This window comes from Homo sapiens, chromosome 11 (assembly GCF_000001405.40).
Source record: "Homo sapiens chromosome 11, GRCh38.p14 Primary Assembly".
Lineage (NCBI taxonomy): Eukaryota > Metazoa > Chordata > Mammalia > Primates > Hominidae > Homo > Homo sapiens.
This window is the reverse complement of record NC_000011.10, coordinates 110,658,934-110,682,916: the sequence shown is the minus strand read 5'-3', so window position 1 is coordinate 110,682,916 and position 23,983 is coordinate 110,658,934. Positions and strand designations below refer to the sequence as shown.

Genomic DNA, 23,983 nt, shown 5'->3' with positions numbered 1-23,983 from the left:
AATGTTGGCACTCCATCCTGATTATCTGTGTGACCTTGGATAAATTACTTTATCTCTGAGTCTCAATGTTTTCCTCTGTAAAATATGGGTCATAATGCTTACATCATAGAACACAAAATGAGGAAATAAGTAAAAATGCTTAGAATATTAACTTAGTTATTATTATTTCCCTTCTTCCCTTCCATTATATAATGTATAGATATATAATTTTTAAGACTCAAGCCTTCTGGCTCATCTATTAATGTCAAGCTTGTTAATAAAAAGCACCTGCTTTATCATCACAGCATTGTATAACTAAAAGTGGATCATTGATCCTGGCTCATTAAGTAGCAGAAATTGAGTCAAAAACTTCCTCTAGGTCACATAGTTGATTAATGTCAGAGACAGGACCAGAACCCAGGTGTCTGGTCTTAAAGGAATATGATACAGTACCTTAGTGCATAGACTCTGAAACCAAATTGCCAGGTCTAAATCCTGGTACTTCCCCTTACTAGCTATGTGTGATCTTGGGTAAGTTTTTCAACCAGAGATGATAATAATAATACCTACCTCATAGGATTTTAAGGAGAACTAAATGAGTCTTATATATCTAAAGTTCTTAAAGTAGTCTCTAGTACATAATCAGTGCTACATATGTATGTAAGCTATTTATTATTGTTAGTAGTAGTAGCAGTAGTAACAGCAGAAGGAAGTACACATTCTCATAGAGAGACTCTTTGAAGACCATAGCAGATGGGAAATTAAAAAGATGAAAGATGGAGAATTTGGAAGCCTGCTAGAGTCTAATGTTAAATTTATTTTAGCAAGACAATTATATTTCTAGGTCTGACCTAAAGCAGGATTAACTCAGGATATTTTGGATTTATTCTTGGTAGACCCTGACAACTTTTGAGTTCTCCCTATGTAGAGGTTCTCAGTATGCCTAGAATGACTCTGGGAAATGACGGTTTGAACCATGGAGGATTGACCTGCTTTGCTCAGTCACTTAAGATGAAGAGGCTCTAGGAGTTTTATATGTGCCAAAGCTGTGAGTCAAGATTAGGTACATATAGAATTGGCTGGTTTAGGGTACAGATAATAGAGTGAGGGAGCCCAGTCAGAAGGCGTTTGTAATTAGGAAAGCAGCCATTTGCTAACTGGCTTCCACTTTGGGTTCATTCACTCCTGTTGTGCATGACCACACACCACCATGCTCACATTGTCCTACTCTGACTATCCCCCATTGTGTTCTACGAATTCCTCATTATTCCACTTCCTTTTTCCTCTGTCATGTTAGCATCATAACTTCAGTATTAGCCTAAAGTGGATAATAGCTTATCATACTTTCGAATGAAGGAAGTACATTTATACTCTGCAGTGGTTTACTGAGGATTGTAGTAAAATCTTCTTTCATAACAGAATGAAAAACTGCCTTTACCTGTGACAGTTTAGTGTGGACCTTTCAGATATAGTAATGGGAATGAACTCAACGACCTCATAAAGGCCACTCTCATGCTGAGACTCTAAGGTAGTTGTAATAACAATTGATATCACTTAAAGGAAAAATTAATTTAAAAGAGAAGTTACCAGACTTTTTGGAATTTTATAAACTTTCTATACCTAGGTATGGTTTCTTGGTATAAGACTTAAATAAAATTTTGAACTTTAGAGGAATTTTTAAAAATCTTTAAGACCTTTTCAAAATTACAATAAACTATACTGACATGTTATTTTAGAAAAATTCTATGTCAAACACTGTTCCATGTGCTGTCTTGCATAACATGCCAATTGGCTCTACATAAGGTCCATTCCTACAGTTTTGGACAATACGTTGTGAGGTTTTTATTTGAGAGATCTGTGAATGATCCAAGGTATATGATGCGAACACCAAAGTAGAAATTTAATACTTGAAGATTGCCAGTAGCCTGCAAAACCCCACTTTTTTTTCCTTGCAAGGAACATTTTTCAAAGTTGTAAAATTCAGATATAAGGAAAAGAGACAGCAATTGCTTTATAAGGTGGCAAAGTTGGCAAATTTTTTACCAAAATGAAACTCATTACTTTGTTAGACAAAAGGTTTCCAGGCCCATATATTGCTTTATTCTTTTCAAACTACTTTTCATACTATTTAAAAAATGATCAAATACATCTGTTTGTGGTGCAGTGTGCTAATTTTCTTGTGGTATGATTCTGGGAGGAAATCTTTAGGAGATTAAATTTAGTCTCTCCACATTCTAGTGGGCTTTGATGGGGTCAAATTAATTTATTTTTGTAGCTACAGAACAGCACATCCATTTAATTTCTTAATTCCAACTTTAGGTTAATTTGCTAATTGCAGTTATGATTCAATTGTATCTTTCATTTTGGCACCAGGAAAGCACTACCTCATTAGTGCATGTTTATTTGCCCTTCCTCACCCCTGTTCATAGGGATAGCAGTCTGTCCTACGACATCCTTACTATATTGAACTAGATACTCTCTTCCCCTATACAACTTGAAAGCTAGGATTTCTCAGAGTTTTGGCATTACATGATTGACCTTCCTTCAGAACCTTGAAAAAAAGACATATTAGGGAAGCAGAAGAACAATTATTACTATTATTGAGAAGCTTCATATTATTGTGGTTAAGAAAGTATGGACTCTGTAGCCATTCTTTTTTGGGTTTGAACCCTGGCCCTTCTTCTTACCAGATGTGAGAACTTTGGCAAGTTACTTAACCTCTTCAGGCCTCACTTTATCCATCTGTAAAATGGGGATGACTTCATAGGGGATTAAATGAGTTAATTTTATAATGTATTTGGCATATTGTAACTGTTATATAATGTTTCATTAAATAAAATTATTAAAAATATATAAATCTTTAGGGTCTCCTGTCACATAATGTCTAATTTGCCGAGTGTTCCAGGTTTAGGTCTTGCCTCAACTTGACTATGGGTCAACTCTTAGTTGGATGGAAAGAGGGTAAGAGTCTACTGCTACCTGAGAAAGTGTACACATCCAGTGTTGAAAAGCCACAGAAAGAAATGTCCATTCTGGAGTGACCAGCTGTTTAATGTATATTGAATTAATGCTTACATGTACACCATGTCATCTGGATTATGAGTCACTGCCTTTGGTTTTCTGATACATAGTTCTGAGTATGATGAGAAAACACAGAGAATGGATTCTAGTCTCCTGCTCTAGCACTATGTGACCCTGGTGGAGTCACCCATTCTTTCCATGACTGGGACTTTTTCCCCTCATCTGTTGGTGATAGGGGAGGGGAGAATAAAGTTGACTAAATTCTTCTCATACTTTTTTCACCCCAGCTCTACAGTTTTGTGTTTCATTATTCTAAGCATACTTCAGTTACAGGAAGAATGAAAATCAGTATGAATGTTCTTGAACACCCTTTTATTGCAACTCATAAAACATCTCTGAGTGTGTCTGTCACACTGTTGAGGAGTAAGTAGTATCCTCTTTCAGTGCAAAGGTCAAACATTTGCTTATGTAGAATCTGGTCTACTTGTTATCATGTCGTTTTGGTAACTAGCCTCCACAATGGCATCCAGTGATTCCCGCCTCCTAGTATTCATACCCTTGTCTAATCCCTGCTACACTGTATCAGAGTTGCTCTGTGTAACCAGTAGGATTTGGTAAAAGTAGTGATGTGCCACTTCCGAGATTAGGTTACAAAAGGTGGAGTTTCCTTCTTGATTGCTGTCATACTTTCTTTCTCTGACCACTTGATCTGGAGGAAGCCATGTCATGAGCAGCCCTATGGAGGAACCCACAAGATGAGAAACTGAAGGCTCTAATAGCCACATGAAGGCTCTTGGAAGCAGACCCTCCCACTCCAGTCAAGACTTCAGAGATTGCAGCCAGCCCTGGTTGAAATCTTACTGCAACCTCAAGAGACCTAAGACCCACCCAACTAAGACACTTCCAGGTTTCTGATCCTTATAAATTGTGTAGGGTAATAAATATTTGTTTGGCCGGGTACAGTGGCTCATGCCTGTAATCTAGCCACTTTGGGAGGCCAAGGCGGGTGGAATTGCATGAGCTCAGGAGTTCAAGACCAGCCTGGGCAACGTGGTAAAACCCTGTTTCTACAAAAAAAAATGTGAAAATTATCTGGGCATGGTGGTGTGGACCTTGTAGTCCCAGCTACTCAGGAGGCTGAGGTGGGAGGATTGCTTGAGCTCAGGAGGTTGAGGCGCAGTGAGCCGTGATTGTGCCACTGCACTCCAGCCTGGACAACAGAATGAGACCCTGTCTCAGAAAAGATAAATAAATGAATAAATAAATAAATGTTTGTTGTTTTAAGATGCTATGTTTGGGGGTAATTTGTTATTGCAGCAATAAATCAATAGAGTAATCTTCAAGTTATGAAACTAGCTTTCTAGAATGTTTCTCTCATGTATTAATATGTTTTATGTATTCTTACAGCTAGAGGTGGAAAGATGGAAACAGATGCTATTCCAGTTTATAAATGAAAAGGCCAATTCCCCAGATCATGTAATTTGTTGAAAAAGGGGCCAGACAACATCTTTTTTAAAACAAAACAAAACAACATCTTTATGGAGATACAGTTCTTATGGTATAATTCACCAGTTAAAAGTGTACACTTCAGTGGTTTTTACTATATCCACAGGGATGTGAAGCCATCACCAAAATCTTCATTTTCATCCCCAAAAAAGAAATGCATAGCCATTAGCTGTCACTCCTATTCTCTCCTGCTGCACTTCCACATCCCCAGCTCTAAGCAACCACTCAACTGTTGTCTATGTTTATAACTTTGACTCTTCTGGACATTTCAAATAACTGAAATCGTGTGCTGTTTGGTCTTGGTGGCTAGCTTCTTTCAGTTAGCATGATGTTTTCAAGGTTCATCCATGTTGTAGCATGTATCAGTACTTTATTACTTTCTGTTTTATAGATAGGTATACCACATTTTGTTTATTCATTCATTAATTGATGGACATTTAGGTTGTTTCCACATTTTGGCTATTTATGAATAATGCCGTGAACATTCATGTATAAGTTTTTGTTTGCACATATGTTTCATTCCTCTTGGGTATATACTAGGAGTGGAATTGTTGGGTCTTACGGTAACACTAATCTTTTGAGGAACCATCAAACTATTCTCCAAGGCAGTGGCACCATTCTAAATTCCCACCAGCAATATATGAGCATTCTAATTTCTCCACATCCTTACCAGTGCTTGTTATTTTCTATCTTTTTTATTATAGCCATCTTAGTGGGTATGAAGAAGTAGCTTATTGTGGGGTTTGTTTATTTGTTTGTTTTTCCTGAGACAGAGTCTTGCTCTGTCACTCAGGCTGGAGTGCAGAGGTATGATCATGGCTTACTTCAGCCTCAAAATCCTGGGCTCAAGCAATCTTCCCACCTCACCCTCCTGAGTAGCTAGGACCACAGGTGCATACCACCACACCTGGCTAATTTTTGTAGAGACTGGGTTTCGCTGTCTTGCCAAGGCTGGTCTCAAACTCCTGGGCTGAAGCCATTTGCCCACCTTGGCCTCTCACAGTGGTGAGATTACAGGAATGGGTCACAATGTCTGTGGCCTTATCATGGTTTTGATTTGTGTTTCTCTAATGATGTTGCTCATTCTTTCATGTGCTTGTCATTTGTATGTCTTTTGGGAGGAATTTCTATTTAAAACTTAAGGCATTTTTAATTGGGTTGTTTGAGTTTTTATTAACAAGTTTTAGGAGTTCTTTATTGTCAAATTCTGTTCTTAGTATTATATATGTACATGCAAAGCAAAGTATAGGATTAAAGCATTTAATTTGAAGTTTGTAAGGCCCCAAAGCACTTGAACCTGAAACATCATGATAATGAAGACCAACCAAACTCAATTGTCCACTTCATTCTGTATTTTGTATTTATATGCCTTTGGGTTGGTATGTTTTTTCATCAAGTCTAACTTTGTTTTTGGAAAAGAATAATTTCTATACATTGAATCCAACTGTGATCCTTTGTCAGGTTCCCATGATGTAGAGTCTATAAAATAATGTTAATTAGCTTGATTTAACCATTCCACATTGTATACATATATCAAAATATCATGTTATACACCATAAATCTGTATGTTTTGTCAATTTTTTAAAAAAAAAACTTATTTGAGGAGATTTAAGTCTCTATAATTTTGGTTTTATAGAATACCTACTTTTCATTTTTGCATACATTTTTATCATAAAATTAATGTATGTACATTTTGGAAAATTTGGAAAATGCAAGGAGGTACAAAAAAAATTTTGGTTTATATTCAGAGATATCAACCTTTATACCTGATGTGGTTTGGCTGTTTCCCCACCCACATCTCATCTTAAATTGTAGTTCCCATAATCCCCACATGTCATGGGAGGGAACTGGTGAGAGGTAATTTAATCATGGGGGTGGTTACCATCATGATAGTGAATGAGTTCTCATGAGATCTGATGGTTTCATAAGGGACTTTTCCCTTTTTTGCTCAGTACTTCTCCTTGCTGCTGCCATGTAAAGAAGGACATGTTTGCTTCCCCTTCTGCCATGACTGTAAGTTTCCTGAGGCCTCCCTAGCCCTGAGGAACTGTGAGGCAATTAAACCTCTTTCCTTTATAAATTACCTAGTCTCAGGTATGTCTTTATTAGCAACATGAGAACAGACTAAAACAATACCTTTTTCTGTCATTCAGCTTCAAAGTTTATGTATTTTAAAACTGATGACAAACATGATCAATGTGATGCTGTATATGGTTGAAATATTCTCCACTTGCTGTATTTATGTGTTTCTCATATGGAAAAATGCTGAAAGTGTATACAATTATATGGATTTGTTTAAACTTCTAACATGAAGTAGAGAGTTGTGAAATAAATGTGCGGGAGTTGTAATACCATATATTTTTATTTTCAACGTCTCAGCTTTTCCTTACAAAAATGTTGTGATTCATTCAAAGACTGCTCACCATGAGGCAGGCACTCTGTCAAATTAGATCTGCTTTTCTGTGCTTGCCTTCAAGGAGCTCATAACCTGGTGGAGGAAAAAAAATTTGTCAGAAGTAAATTTCTTGAATAGACTATAAGTGTTATAATTAAGGTAGAAACAGGAGAACAAAGCAGCTGCCTTAGGGCATGAGGGAAAGCTTCATAGAGGTACTGCTATCTATGCTGGGTTTTGAGGGATAAGTAGGAGTCCTCTAGCACAGGGATCCCCAGTCCCCGGGCCACAGACTGGTATTGGTCCGTGGCCTGTTAGGAACCTGGCAGCACAGCAGGAGGTGAGTGGCAGGCAAGCAAGTATTACCTACCACCTAGATTCTCCTAGGAGCACAATCCCTACTGTGAACTGTGCATGTGGAGGAGCTAGGTTGTGTGCACCTTATGGGAATCTAAAGCCTGTGCCTGATAATCTGAGGTGGAATAGTTTCATCCTGAAGCCATCCTTCCTCCTCCTCCACAACTCCCCACCATCCATGGAAAAAATGTCTCCCACAAAACTGGTCCTCGGTGCCAAAAAGGTTGGGAACCACTGCTCTAGCAGAGACAACGGATGATATAATGTTCTAGCAATGAGAATTTAAGTTAGAGCTCAAAGTGTGTAGAAAGGCATGGCAAACTTTGAGAAAGGAAATGAGGCCAATACAGTAAATAAGGACCAGATTAGAAGTGGTCTCTGTCAGTCTGAGGGCCTTAGATTTCTATATAGTAGGGAAATGTTCTGAGAAAATCAAAGTTAGTGATACAATTTGTGTTTTTGAAAACTGGCTCTATCAAATAACTGATTGGAAGACAGACAAGGCAGGTAGACCATTTAGAAGACAGTTGAACATCACTGAAGCAAATGATAATAAAAATCTGAACTGAAGCAGTGAAGAGGAAAAATAGAGATACTTAGAAGTGAGAGTAAGATTTGAATGTAAAGGTGATGGGTTGATGGGTGCAGCAAACCACCATAGCACGTGTATACCTGTGTAACAAAACTGCACGTTCTGTACATGTACCCCAGAACTTAAAGTATAATAAAATAAGATGAGATGATATATGTAATTCATTATCACAGTTAAGAAAAGGAAGTGAGAGGAGCTAAGAATGAAGTTTCTAGTTTTTGAAGACTGGGTAGATGGTGATGACATCAATCATTAACTGATTGGCTAATCAAGAAGGTGAACAAGTTTTGAACATGGTGAGTTTTGAGGTGTAGAACAACATATTAGTATTGATAATAAGGGTTGAGTATCCCTTGTCCAAAATGCTTGGGACCAGAAGTGTTTCAGATGTCAGATTTTTATTTTGGATTTTGGAATATTTGCATATATATATATAATGAGAAATCTTGGGGATTTCTAAGTACAAAATTCATTTATGTTTTATATATGCCTTATAAATGTAGCCTGAGGGTAATTTTATATAATATTTTAAATAATTTTGCACATAAAGAAAAGTTTTGACTGCATTTTGGCTGTGACTTGTCACATGAGATCAAGTATGGGATTTTCCACTTATGCCATCGTGTAGGCGCTCAAATTGTTTCCAATTTTGGAGCATTTCAGATTGTGGATTTTCAGATCAGGGATGCTCAACCTGTATTAATAATTGCTTTAATTTAAACGGAGTGCTTACCAGGTGCCAGGTTCTAAACTAAGTACATTGTGTATACATTGTTGAATGGCTTTTTCATTTTACAAATAAAGATATTTAATCTTAGAGATTTAAAATAGCTGGCTGGGTGTGGTGGCTCACGCCTGTAATCCCAGCACTTTGGGAGGCTGAGGCAGGTGGATCATGAGGTCAAGAGATCGAGAACATCCTGGCCAACATGGTGAAACCCCATCACTGCTAAAATACAAGTTAGCTGGGTGTGGTGACACACACCTGTAATCTCAGCTGCTCGGAAGGCTGAGGCAAGAGAATTGCTTGAACCTGGGAGGCAGAAGTTGCAGTGAGCTGAGATCATGCCACTGCACTCAAGCCTGGGCAACAGAGCGAAATGCTGTCTCAAAAAAAAAAAAAAATAGCCTTCGTTCTCACAACTATTAAGTAATGGAGTTGAAATTTAAATTTACTTCTCTCTGACTCTAAAATTTGTTACCTTAGCCATCATATTAGACTGCCTGTTTTGAGAGTTTTCTATCTGATAAGATAAAGACTGTACCAAGGACTAGGTTTAAGAAACTTAACTGTTACTATTATAATATCATGGTGGCCATAAGGTTCTGTCTGTTCTGGCTCCATGTGGACAGATCAGAGATCATCACTTTAAATGAAAGTGACACAATGGTTCAGAAATGATTCTGCCACTTACCAATCACTGACTTTTATCTCTAACTCTGGAGGCCAACAATTCTTTCTATAAATTACACTGCTTAGTGTAATTCTTTTATTTACTTATCTTTAGATATTTCCTAGTATAAAGCAGTCAGTTAAAATGTTGTTTTATTTGGTTTTGTTTTCTTTTATGGCCATAATTTTTAATGTAGATACCTAAGTTTATGGCTTGTATCAGAGAATATGGTTGTATCGTATCTGATTTTAAAATTTTTTTATGACTTGACAATGTAGCTAAGTTTTTATGAGTACTCTATTATATGTTTTAAAAGTATGTTATTGATTATGTAAATCATCAATATCCTTCCTAATATTTTGTCCTCTTGCTCTGTCATTTGCTAAAAGGGCTGTGAAATGTTTCCCACTTATGTTGTGGACTTGTAAATTTCTTCTTATTAGTTTCTTGCTTTCTGTGTTTTGAACATATATTGTTAGGTCCATAAAGTTTAGGATCTTTTGGTGTGTTATACCTTTTATCAAATGGAAATATCCCTCTTTTTGTCTTATATATTTCTTTTGTGTTAGTCCCTTTTGGCTCAGCAGGATTTTTTTGAGATTCATCTATGTTGTATGTATCAGAAGTTTGTTCTGTTTTGATATTGCCAACTAGTATTCCATTTTATGGATATGCAACAATTAGTTTATTCTGTTGAGAGATATTTGAGATATTTGGGGCTGCTATGAAGAAAGCTGCTATCAACATTTGTGAGATCTTTATGTGGATGTATGTCTTCACTCTGTTGGGTAAATATCTTAAGAGTTGAATTACTAGGTCATGTAATGTTTGTTTAACTTTAAAAGAAATCACCAGAACTATTTTCTAAAGTAGTCGTACCATTTAACATACCTATCAACGATGTATGAGAATTCCAGTTGTTTCACATCCTCACCAAAACTTAGTAATAATAGCTTAAGACATTTTAGCCAAGACCAACATTTTGGCTTGACACCTTAAAACATTTCAGCCAAGTCTGGCTAACATGGTGAAACCTTGTCTCTACTAAAAATATGAAAAAATTAGCCAAGTGTGGTGGTGCATGCTTGTAGTCCCAGCTACTCGGGAGGCTGAGGTGGGAGAATCGTTTGAACATGAGGGGCGGAGGTTGCAGTGAGCCAAGAACAAGACTCCATCTCGAAAGAAAAGAAAAAAAAAATTAGCCATCTGGTGGGTGTATGGTGCCATCCCTTTGTGGTTTTAATTTGCATTTTCTTGAAGACAAATAATATTGTGCATCATTTTATAAAATTACTGCCCATTTGTATGTTTTTCTTTGTGAAGTGATCTGTTTCAACCTTTTGCCCATTTTTTAATGTGTAAACTTGTAGAGTTGAAAGAGTTTTTATGTATTTTGGATATAGGTCCTTTGTCAAATATATATAATCAGATGTTTCCCCTAAATCTGTCTTTTCATTTTCTTAACAGTACTTTTAGAGATGCAGAAGTTTTTAATTATGATAAAGTCTAATTAATTTTTTTCTATAAAGCTGTAAAGCTTATTGATTTTGTGTCCTATCTTAGAAACATTTGAATACTTGAAAGTCTCAAAGATGTTATCCTGTGTTCTTTTCTACTAAGTCTGGGATCAAGTTTGATTAATTTTGTCTATGGTATAAAATAAGGGTAGAGGATTATTATTTTTCCTATGGATATCCAGTTGTTGCAGTATCAACTGCAATTTCTTTGCAATCAAAGAAATTGATTGAAATACAATTTCTTTTCCCAATGTACTTTCCCAAAAAGTACATACGTTTTCACTCTGGAACCTTTGTAGAAAATCAATTGGCTATATATGTATACATCTACTTCTAGATGCAATTCTTTTCCATCAGTCTACATGTCTCTCCTTACTGATATTATAATATCTTGATTACTTAGCTTTCTAATAAATCTTCATGTTTTTGTCGATATTATGACTTTTTTATTTCATATTCATTTGTCCATTGCTAATATATAGAAATACAGTTGATTTTTTTGTTATTGACCTATTCTTTAATCTAAAAAAGTTCTATTAGCTTTAATGTAGATTTTTCAGGATATTCTACATACACATTCATTCCCTTTGTGAATAAAAATGGTTTTACTTCTTCCACTCTAATTTGTTTGATTTTTATTTCCTTCGCTTGCCTCAGTGTACTAAAACTTCTACTGTATTGTCGAAAGTGGTAAGAGCAGACGTATTGTCTTTATTGCTGATCTTAAGTAGGGAAATATTCAGTCTTTCACCATTAAGTATGATGTTTGCTTTAGGATTTTTTGGTAGGTGTTCTTTATAAAGTGGAGGAAGTATCCTTTAATTCCAGTATGTGAGGTGTTTTTTTTAAATCACGAATGTGTGTTAAATTTCATCAGATGCTTTTTTCTGCAACTTTGAGATGATCATGTTGTTGGGTTTTTTTTTCTTTGTTTTAGTCTTAATGTGGTTGATTCCACTGATTTTTTTTAATAAATTTCTATTTTGGAATAATTTCAGATTTACAGAAAAGTTGCAAGAATATTACAGAGTTTTTGCAGATTTCTCAACCAGTGTACTATATTTTTAGCATCTTACAATGTTACAGTATACTTGTTATAACTAATAAACCAATATTACATTATCGACTAGAGGTCATACTATATTCAGATTTCCTTAGCTTTTACCTAGAGTACTTTTTCTATACCAGGATCCTATCTAGAATACCACGTTAGATTTAGTCATCATGTTTTCTTAGTTTTTCTAAACTGTGAGTTTTTCTTAGACCTTCCTTGTTCCTTGACAATTTGGGGTAAGACCGGTCAGTTAATTGGAATGTTCTCCAATTGGGATTTGTCTGATATTTTCTTGTGGTTAGAAAGGGGTTGTGGGCTTATGGAGTATTTTTCAGTCTATGTTCATGAGAGATAGAGATCTGTAGTTTTCCTGTATTATCTTGTCTGGTTTTGGTATAAAATGGGTTGGGAACTGTCACTTCCTTTTTCTGAAAGATTGTATGAAGGAATGTCATTATTTCTTCCTAAAATGTTGGGTAGAATTTATCATTGAAGTTATCTAGGGTTGAGTTTTGTTTGTGGGAAGATTTTTAATTATGATGTTTATTTAATAGATATGGAACTAGTGAGTATTCAGTTTCTTCTTGAGTCAGTTCGGGTAATTTGTGTCTTTCAAGGAATGTGTCTGTTTCATCCTAGTTGTGAATTGATGCAGAGTTATGCATAATATTTTAATTATGTTTTTAATGTGTGTAGGAGCTATAATGTTCCTTCTTTCATTCTTGATGTTGGTAATTTCCAAATTCTCTTTTTTCCCCCTAGATCTGTCTAGTTAAAGGCATATGAATTTTATCTCTTCAAAGAACCAGCTTCTAGTTTTGTAGCTTTTCTATATTGTGTTGACTTTATATTTCATTGATTTATTTTTGAGAGATTTATTGAAGTATAATTATGTACAATAAAGCACACATAAAGTGTGTGATTTTGATGAATTTTTATATGTTATATACCAACATTATGATCAAGATAATGAACATTTTCATAACCTCCAAAGGTTTCCTTGTGCGCCTTTGCAATCCATCCTTCCTTGATACTGCCAACCTATCCTCAGGCAATCAGTGAGCTACTTGATAGGTTAGTTTGCATTTCTGAGAATTTTATATAAATACCATGCTACTTTTTATTACTGGGTACTATTGCACTGTGTAGGTATACCAAAACCTCTTTATTTCTTTTATGTGTTAGTAGACAGTAGGGTTTTTTAAATTTTATGATTAAAAATAAAGTTGCTTTGTACAGTCATGTACAAGTATTTGTGTGTACTCTTACTTCATATGCTTTCAAACCTCTCAATAAGTACCAAGAAGTGGAATGGCTGGGTTGTAAGGTAGTTGTATATATTACGAACTGCCAAATTATTTTCTAATGTGGTTGTATCATTTTATATTCCACTAGCAGTGTGTGAATGTTACAGTTGCTCCACATCTTCGTCAACACTTGCTCTGGTCAGAACTTCTAATTTTAAGTATTCTATGTGTGCATTCTTATATTTCTTTGTGGTTTTAATTTGTGTTCCCCTGATAACTAATGATGTTGAGCATCTTTTCATGAGCTTAGTTGATATCCCTAGATAATCTTTAAAAAAAGAGCCAGTTCACATCTCCTCATTTTGTGTTGGGTTTTTTTTTTCTTACTGTTGAGTTTTAAGTGTTTTTCATATGTTCCAAATCTGTGCTATCCAGTATGGTAGGCACTAACCACTGGCAATTTAAATTCAAGTTAACTAAAATTGAATATATAAATTCAGTTCCCAAGTCACTCTAAACACATTTCAAGAGCTCATTTAGCCAAATATGAGTAGTGGCTTTCTATTAGTGCAGATATAAAATATTTCCATAATTTCAGAAAATTCTACTGGCAGCACAGTTCTATATATAAATGCCTTGCTGGGCATATGGCATGTGAATATTTTACCCTAGTATATAACTTGCCTTTCTCTCATAACAATGTTTTTCAAAGAGCCAAGTTTTAAATTTTAATGAAGTCCAATTTATCATTTTTTCTTTGAGTTTGTTCATTCTGTGTTCTATTTAATTTTTTTCTATATCCAAAGTCAAAATTTCCTTCTATGTTTTCTTTTAGAAGTTTTATAGTTTCAGATTTTACATTTAAAACTATGATCCATTTTGAGTTAATTTTTATATATTTTATGAAATAAGGGTCAGTGTTCATTTTTATTGTGCATGGCTATTCAGTTGTTCCAGCATCATTTTTGAGCAAATTATCCTTTCCCTTTTAATTGCCTTTGTACCTTTGTCAAATTCAGGCATACCTCAGAGATATTGCAAGTTCAATTACAGACTGCCAAAAAAGGCAAATATTAAAGTGAGTTGCATGAATTTGTTGGTTTCCCAGTGCATATAAAAGTTATGTATAAATTATATTGTAGTCTATTAAGTGTGCCAATGGCATTATATATTTTCTTTCTTTTCTTTTTTCTTTTTATTTTTTTGGAGACAGGGTCTTGGTCTGTTGCCCAGGCTGGAGTGCAGTGGTGCGATCTTGGTTCACTGCATCCTCCACCTCTAGGACTCAAGTGATCCTCCCACCTCAGCCTCCTGAGTAGCTGGGACTCCAAGTGTGTGCCACCATGCCAAGCTAATTTTTTCTTATTTTTTGTAGTAACAGTTTTGCCATGTTGCCCAGCCTAGTTGCAACCTCCTTGGCTCAAGGAACCTGCCCAGCTCAGCCCCCAAAGTGCTGGGATTACAGGTGTGAGCCACCACACCCAGTCCAGCATTATAACTTTAAAAAACAATTTGTATACCTTTATTTTAAAATATGTTATTGCTTTTTAAAAATGCAACCAATCATACAAACTTTTTGTTTGTGGAGGGTCTTGTCTCAGTGTTGTTGGCTGCTGACTAATAAGGATGGTGGTTGCCGAAGGTTGGTTGGCTGTGGCAATTTCTTGAAATAAGACAACAATGAAATTTGAGACATTGACTTTCTTTCACGGAAGATTTTTCTGTAGCATGCAATACTGTTTGATAGCATTTTTCCCACAGAACTTCTTTCAAAATTGAAGTCAGTCCTCTCAAATTCTGCTACTGATTTATCAGTTAAGTTTATGGAATTCTGCTACTGCTTTATCAATTAAGTCTAAGTCCTTTGTTGTCATTTCAGCATCTTTACAAGGAGTAGATTCCACGTCAAGAAACCACTTTCTCTACCCATCCTTAAGAAGCAACTTTATTGTGAGATTGTAGCAATTCAGTCACATCTTCTGGCTCCACTTCTAATTATCTTGCTGTTTCTACCACATTTGCAGTGACTTCCCCCACTGGAGTCTTGAACTCCTCAAAGTCATCCATGAGGGTTGGAATCAACTTCTTCCAAACTCCTATTAATATTGATATTTTGACCTCCTCAAATGAATCACAAATGTTCTTAATGCTATCTAGAATGGTGAATCCTTTTCAGAAAGCTTTCAGTTTACTTTGCCCAGATCCATCAGAGGAATCACTGTCTATGGCAGCTATAAGACTTGAAAGTCAAAATTATTTCTTGATCCATGCACTGCCAGAGTGGATATTTTGTTAGCCAGCATGAAAACAACCTTCATCTCCTTGTACATTTCCATCAGAGTTCTTGGGTGACTAGGTGCATTATCGGTGAGCAGTAATGTTTTGAAAGGAATCTATTTTTCTGAGCAATATGTCTTAACAATGGACTTAAAATATTTAATAAAACATGTTGTAAACAGATATGCTGTCACCCACACTTTGTTGCTCCAATGATAGAGCACAAGCAGAGTAGATTTAGCAGAAAGTAATTTCAGAATGGTAAATAAGCATTGGCTTCAACTTAAAGTCACCAGCTGCATTAGCCCCTAACAAAGGAGTCAGCTTGTCTTTTGAAGCTAGACATTGACTTCTCCCTAGCTATGCAAGTCCTAAATGGCATTCTCTTCCAATATAAGGCTGTTTCATCTACATTAAAATTTGGTTGTTTAGTGTAGCCATTTTCATCAATTATCTTAGCTAGATTTTCTAGATAACTTGCTACAGCTTCCACATCAGCATGTAGTGCTTCACCTTGTACTTTTATGTTATGGAGTTAGCTTCTTTCCTTAAATCTCATGAACCAACCTCTGCTAGCTTCAGACTTTTCTTCTGCAGGTTACTCACTGATCTCAGCCTTCATAGAATTGAAGAGATTTAGAGCCTTGCTCTGGATTAGGCTTTGGCTTAAGGGAATGTTGTGGCTGGTTTGATCTGTCCTGATCCCTAAAACTTTCCCCGTATCAGCAATAAGGCTATATCACGTTCTTATCACTCATGTGTTAATTCACAGTGCCCCAAAACAATTACAATAGTAACATCAAAGATTACTGATCACAGATCACAACAGATAAAATAGTAATAATAATGAAAATGTTTGAAATATGTGAGATTATTAAAATGTGATGGGAATGTGAAGTGATCATATGCTGTTGGAAAAAAATGGTGCTGATAGACTTGCTTGATGCAGGATTGCCACAAAGTTTCAATTTGTAAAAAATGTAATATCTGCAAAGTACAATAAAGTAAAGCACAATAAAACAAGGTATGTTTACAATCAATTGGGTATGTAAGTGTTAGTCTACTTTGGATTCTGTGCTGTTCTTCATGCCAATATGACCCTTTTCTGATTATAGTAACTTTAAAATATGTTTTAAAACATGTTCTGCAAGTCCTTTAGCTTTGTTTTCATTTTTCAAATTTGGCTATTTTAGGTCCTATAAGCTTTCATATATTTTGTGAATCAGCTTGACAATTTCTACAATAATAATGCTGCTGATTTCAATAGTGATTGCATTTCATTTATATCAGTGTGGGTAAAATCAACATTTTAGCAATATTGAGTCTTTCTATCCATGAACATGGTATCTCTTCATTTATTTCAATGAGTTTTTATTTCTCTCAGTATTGTATCGTTCTCAATGTCTTGCACATTTTTGTCAAATTCTTAGGTGTTTTATATTGTTTGATGCTGTTGTAAATGGCACAGTTCTTAGATTTCAAATTCCAGTTGTTCAATGGTAGTATGTGGAATGAATCATAGTGTGTGTATATGTATATATATGTGTGTGTATATATGTGTGTCTACGGACACGCATATATACGTGTGTGTGTGTGTGTGTATATGTATCTTGTATCCAGTGACCATATTAAATTCACTTATCTGGTAGCATTTCTCGAGATTCATTAGAATTTTCTGCCTTAGCAACAATCACGTCATCTTTGCCTTATATTCATTAGGTTTCTCTACTTTGGCTTTTGGGTACATGAATTCTTCCCAGCCCTATGAGTTTTAGAGTATTGTCCTACCTGCTTTTTCCTAGTGGCTATTTTCCCAGCCTCAGGTAATTTCCTCGCATACATGCACTGATCAGTTCTCAGATAAAACTTGTGAGGAATACTTTGCAGATCTCTGAGCTCTTTCTCTGGACAGCTCTTTTCTCAAGGCACTCTGTTTTGTGAATTCTATCTAAGTTGGCCTCCTTGATTTCTCAACTCTGTCTCCTCAAGCTGGGCTCTGTTTAGCTTCTTATTCCCTGCCCTGTGCAATAGAATCTCTGTCTAGGCTGCTATCTGGGACAATCTTAGACCTCACCTCATTTTTTTCTCTTTTCTTAGGAATCATTGTTCTGTGTTTCTGTTGTCCAATGTCTGAAAATTTTTGTTTTATATATTTTTTCTTATTTTGTTGTTAGATTAAATTATTCTAGCATAATCAGGAACAGGAATCTCTATTTTAATGACCTTCATTCTTCATTATTTCCTTCTTTGCATGTATTTTGGATTTTATTCTCCTTTTTCTAGTTTCTTACAATGAAAACTCAGATTATTGATTTTAGACCTTTTGTGTTTTCTAATATGTCTAAAAAGTCTCAACTTTTTAAAACACTGTTTTAGCTGCATTTCATAAAATTGGATATGTGAATTCATTTTTACATATGTGTTTTTGTTTACATCCCATTCAAAATGTTTTTTAATATCCCCATGATTTCTTTTTTATACCTATGGGTTATTGTTTTATGGGCACTTCCCTAGTGTCTTTCTGTTATTAGTTCTTAATTTACTTCTATTTTAATTGGAAAACATACTCTGTTTGATTTCTGCAGACTACCTACTGGGATTTTGATTGGAATTGCACTGAATCTATAGATCGTTGAGGCAGAATTGATATCTTAACAATATTGACTCAACATAGGAACAAGATATATTTCTCCATTATTTAGGTCTTCTTTAATAACTCTCAACAGTGTTTTGTAGTTTGCGGTGTACTGGTGCTTTATATCTTTTTTCATATTTACCCTAAGTATTTCATATTTTATTGCTAGTGTAAACAATATCTTTCTTTCTTTTTTCTTTTTTTTTTTTTTTTTTGAGACGGAGTCTCACTCTGTCGCCCAGGCTGGAGTGCAGTGGCACAGTCTCCGCTCACTGGAAGCTCCGCCTCCCGGGTTCACGCCATTCTCCTGCCTCAGCCTCCCAAGTAGCTGGGACTACAGGCACCCGCCACAACGCCTGGCTAATTTTTTGTATTTTTGGTAGAGATGGGGTTTCACCGTGTTAGCCAGGATGGTCTCCATCTCCTGACCTCATGATCCGCCTGCCTTAGCCTCCCAAAGTGCTGGGATTAGAGGCGTGAGCCATTGCGCCTGGCCCCTTCTTTCATTTTTTTGAATGTGTGTTGTCTATATGTAGAAATACAATTGATATTGATATATATGTGTGTGTTTGTGTATGTGTATATATATATATGTCTTATATCCTGCAACCTTCCTAAACTCACTTGTTAGCTTCAATGGATTGTTTTTGTAGGTTCCATTGAACTTTCCACATAGACTACCATGTCATCTGTGAACAAGCACAGTTTTACTTCTTCCTTACAATCTAGATGCCCTTTATTTCCTTTCCTTGCCTGATTTATCTGGCCAAAATCTGCAGTTAAATGTTGAAGAGAAGTGGTTCTAGTGGACCTCTTTGTTTTATTCCTAATATTAGGAGGAAAGAGGAAGTTCACTTCTATATCTGGATTACTGACTTTTTATCATGAATGAGTATTACATTTTGTCAAATGCTTTTCACCATCACTACCTATTGAGATGATCATATGATTTTTCTTTTTAAATTTGTACTATGTGAATTATATTGATTAATTTTTAATGTTAAAATGACTGCATTCTTGGGATAAACTTCACTTGGTCATGATGTAATATCCTTTTCATATATTGTTGTATTCAGTTTGCTGATGGGTATTTTTAGAATTTTTACCTCTGTATTCATGAGAGGTGTTGGTTCTGCACTTTTCTTTTGGTATAATGTCTTTGGCTCTGATAACAGGGTAATAATGCTGGCCTTTTGATTGGATTGGGAGCTATTCTCTCCCCTTAAATTTTCTGGAAGAGTTTGTATAGAATTAGTTTTATTTCTTTCATTAGTATTTGGTAGAATTCAACTGTTAAGCTGTTTGGGCGTGGAGTTTTTGTTCCTTTGTTTGTTTTGTGGGAAGGCTTTAACTAAATATTCAATTTCCTTAATAATACTATTCAGGTTGTTTCTTTTTGAGTAAGCTGTGTTGATTATGTAGTTCAAGGATATTTTTTCCATTTCAGTTAAGTTATCTAATTTATAGCCATATAGTTTTTCATAATATTCCCTTATCCTTTTAACCTGTGTAGCATCTGTAGCAATGTTACCTTTGGAATTCCTGATATTAGTAATTATAGTATTAATGTCTTATATAGTATATTGTATATATTAGTATTATATAATATATAGTGTAATATTAGTGTATTTTCTCATATTCCTGAACAGTCTAGCAAAGTTTTTACAATTTTATGAGTACTCTTAAAGAACCAGCTTATAGTTCATTTATTTTCTTTATTACTTTTCTGTTTTCTATTTCATTGATTTCCACTCTGATATTATTACTTTTCATATTTTGCACTTAATTTGCTTTTGTTTTTAAGTTTCTTAAGGTGTGAACTGAGGTAATTGTTTTAAGGTCTTTTCTAATTTAGGCATTGAATACCATAAATTTCTCCCTAAGTACTACTTTATTGGTATTCCACAAATTCTGAGATGTAGTATGTTTTTCTTTTCATTAAGTTTACAACACTTTTCTAATTTTCTTTTTGATTTCTTCTTTGGTATACAGGATTGCTTAAAAGAGTATTTTTAATATGACAAGATGTTCTTGGTTCATCTTGTATATTTCCTACTTCAGACCTGAAATCAGGTATTTCTCCAAGACTACATTTGGGGATGAGGGTCATTCATTTCTACTAGGTTGTTCATCATTTCCAAGTCTTTTCAGTGCACATCATAAGGCAAATTATCTTTAGAGAAAAAGTATGTCATGACTGAGTTTATATTGATTTCCAATTCAGATTCAGGACTACAGATGTTTGTTTAAATTAAACCTAGTCTAATGTTAACATTCATGTTTCGTTTCTTTTATGCTGAAAATACCACTCTCAATGACACTGGGAATGTAGGAATTAAAATATCACATAATTACTCACATTATCTTATAATGTATACAGACTATTAATAGTTTCAGAAAAACAGTATCAACACTACCACTACCAATATGATTCCTGGAAATTGTTTAAGATTTGTTTTGGCAACTATCTTTACGGTATATCCTAATAATAATGTATAGCCATATTAGTGTTTTTTAAAGTCACGTGGAATAGTTTTTCTATGTGTGATTATGCTACCAACTGGACACAAATTTTGGTTAATTTGTTTTAATTTTATTTTTTATAGTTTTACAAAGTTTTTATTTGATTTTATAATTATGTAGACATTTACATAGTTCAAGTTGAATCTATTAAAACAAGATGTATTCAGATAAATTTCAGCTTCTATTTCTGTCTCCTCAATACTGTTTTTTCTCCTTTCATTGGTAACTTTAAAATTTTAACCTTTTTGATATAAGCAACTATGAATTTTATATATATATATTTCTTACGTAAACAAAAATATAGTATATACTTTTCCACCCTATTTTTTCACATAATGATATAGCTGTAGGATTACTCCTTACCAGTACATAGAGATACTTTTCTTCCCTTTCTACAGTTTCCTGTAAATTCATTGCTTACGTATGCCATGGTTTATTCGGCCAGTTCCTTACTGATGAATTATTATGTTGTTTCCAATCTCTGGTTATAAATGATCCTGCAGTGAAAAAACTTTGTGCTTATATCTTTTGTATTTTTTCTACATTGCAGAAGTGGATTGCTATATACTATCTTGTTAAATATTACCACTTTTCCCTCATAAGGGTTGTACCATTCCCATTCTTGCTAGTGACGTAGAAGAATATCTGTTTTTACCACAGCCTCACTAACAGTGTCTTAATATGTTATATCAGAGTACTTTTAATTTAAATATCTATTCGTGTGAAGTAAAACATTTTAAAGTATATGTTATGCTAAATAAATGTGAATTATGTTTATTTTGCTATGAAAACAGGAAATTCATGATATAAAAATAAGAATTCATCAGTGCAGTATAGAGAAAAAAATGTTCTTTATATAAAAACAAATGTTGAATTTTTTTACTATATCAGTTTTTTAAGTATAATTTGGTTGTGTTAATGATGAGAGGGTTACTGAATTTTTCTTAAACTGGGCATTTGTACCCAGATAATATTTTTATGTCAGAATTACAGTAAGAAGTAAACTATCACTGAACTTGCAAACTTAATTCATTGGTTTTAAAGGCCCTTTTCAACTAAATTATGAGAATGAATTTCTTGTCCTCCTGCTGTTTTTCCCCCACTGTGTTTTTTCCCCTCTATGTTTCAGATAAACACATAAGTTCTTCATTTATTATATAAAAATGAGTTGATGGTTATGTTTGTGCACCTGGATACTGAAATAGACTAATTCCTCTTGGACTTAATAATTATCTGCTTTTTATTAAAATGAAAATAGGATAAAGACAGGAAAAGAAGATGGAATCAGTAATAGCTTTTTATTTTTTAACCCCCAGCAAACACTGAACAGATGGAATAACTTTTAAGTGAAACTACTGGTTTGACAATGGTCTTCTGATGTATTTGTTTTGGAATTATGTAAACTTCTGAACTGAGCATCAGAATCTGTGGCATAGAACTCTGCAGTCAGTTTTCACTGGGCATTTTATTTTATGAATGACGAGTGTAAAAGTGAGAGAGATTGGATGCCTAAGGTTACAGAGCAAGTAGTGTTGGAACTAGAGACAGGGCCCAAGTTTTTCATTGTCCTTATTCTAGCCCCAATTTTTTTCTCGTATTTGGCCTTAAAAATAAGAGAGTGGATGAAAAAAAAAGACCAACATAATCATACACAGGACATTCAAAAGAATAGCAACAGCACATGCTTGTTTCCTAAGGCATTGAAAATATTCACCTGAGAATGTGAGTAACCTCTTTTAGTTCTGAGAGGAATGACTTTGCGGAGAGGTCAGGATATTTGTCCTTAGGGATTGTACTTCTGGGAATACCCTGTCTTGGTATAGGAGGCAGGGTAGATCTGTCGATGGGCTTGGAAAAATTGGCTCTGTGCTCCCAGGATCTAGAGAAAATAATATGAATAAAAAGGTTGACCTGCCAGCACTTTCCACCTACCCCCAAGTTAAACCTGCAGATTCAACCCCTTTTGAAAACTGTTGGAAGAACAAATCATCTTTTTTCAGCACATGGCTTACCATGTTATTATTTATGTACTTGTATCTGGTTCACACAGTTCTTTCTGTAGGCCAGTGACTGGTCTCTTGACTCACCCTTTAGGTACCTGGAAGGTACACCACTCTGTGAAAACAAAAGCTTCCTAGGGTAGTGATCCTCAAAGTGTGGTCCTAGCCCCAGTAGCATCAGCATCACCTGGAACAAGTTAGAAACGCCGATTTTAGGGCCCTGCCCCATAATGAGTCAAAAATTCCAAGAGTAGAACCTTGCATTCTATGTTTTAACAAGCCCTATATGTAGTTCTGATATAGGCTTAAAAATTTGACAACCACTGACCTAGGGTATTTTCTTTTTTTTTTTTTTTTTGTTTTTTATTATACTTTAAGTTTTAGGGTACATGTGCACATTGTGCAGGTTAGTTACATATGTATACACGTGCCATGCTGGTGCGCTGCACCCACTAACTCGTCATCTAGCATTAGGTATATCTCCCAGTGCTATCCCTCCCCACTCCCCCCACCCCACAACAGTCCTCAGAGTGTGATATTCCCCTTCCTGTGTCCATGTGATCTCATTGTTCAGTTCCCACCGATGAGTGAGAATATGCGGTGTTTGGTTTTTTGTTCTTGCGATAGTTTACTGAGAATGATGATTTCCAATTTCATCCATGTCCCTACAAAGGACATGAACTCATCATTTTTTATGGCTGCGTAGTATTCCATGGTGTATATGTGCCACATTTTCTTAATCCAGTCTATCATTGTTGGACATTACCATTCAGGACATAGGCATGGGCAAGGACTTCATGTCTAAAACACCAAAAGCAATGGCAACAAAAGCCAAAATTGACAAATGGGATCTAATTAAACTAAAGAGCTTCTGCACAGCAAAAGAAACTACCATCAGAGTGAACAGGCAACCTACAGAATGGGAGAACATTTTTGCAACCTACTCATCTGACAAAGGGCTAATATCCAGAATCTACAATGAACTCAAACAAATTTACAAGAAAAAAACAAACAACCCCATCAAAAAGTGGGCGAAGGATATGAACAGACACTTCTCAAAAGAAGACATTTATGCAGCCAAAAAACACATGAAAAAATGCTCATCATCACTGGCCATCAGAGAAATGCAAATCAAAACCACAATGAGATACCATCTCACACCAGTTAGAATGGCAATCATTAAAAAGTCAGGAAACAACAGGTGCTGGAGAGGATGTGGAGAAATAGGAACACTTTTACACTGTTGGTGGGACTGTAAACTAGTTCAACCATTGTGGAAGTCAGTGTGGTGATTCCTCAGGGATCTAGAACTGGAAATACCATTTGACCCAGCCATCCCATTACTGGGTATATACCCAAAGGACTATAAATCATGCTGCTATAAAGACACATGCACACGTATGTTTATTGCGGCATTATTCACAATAGCAAAGACTTGGAACCTAGGGTATTTTCTAGGTTAAATTACTTAGAAGTGATTAAGCAG

At 35.2% G+C, this 23,983-nt stretch overlaps 1 protein-coding gene and 1 long non-coding RNA gene across 7 annotated transcripts in view; one reads left to right on the top strand and one right to left on the bottom strand.

Moving 5' to 3' along the window:
* Positions 1–23,983, top strand: part of ARHGAP20 (Rho GTPase activating protein 20) — a 136,147-nt gene that overhangs the window by 30,273 nt on the left and 81,891 nt on the right. The window lies entirely within an intron of this gene.
* On the bottom strand, positions 20,936–22,688 carry LOC124902754 (uncharacterized). Its single transcript, XR_007062889.1, has 3 exons — positions 22,585–22,688; positions 22,212–22,376; positions 20,936–20,994 (listed from the first exon to the last, which is right to left on the bottom strand). It is a non-coding gene; the product is annotated as an uncharacterized LOC124902754 (long non-coding RNA).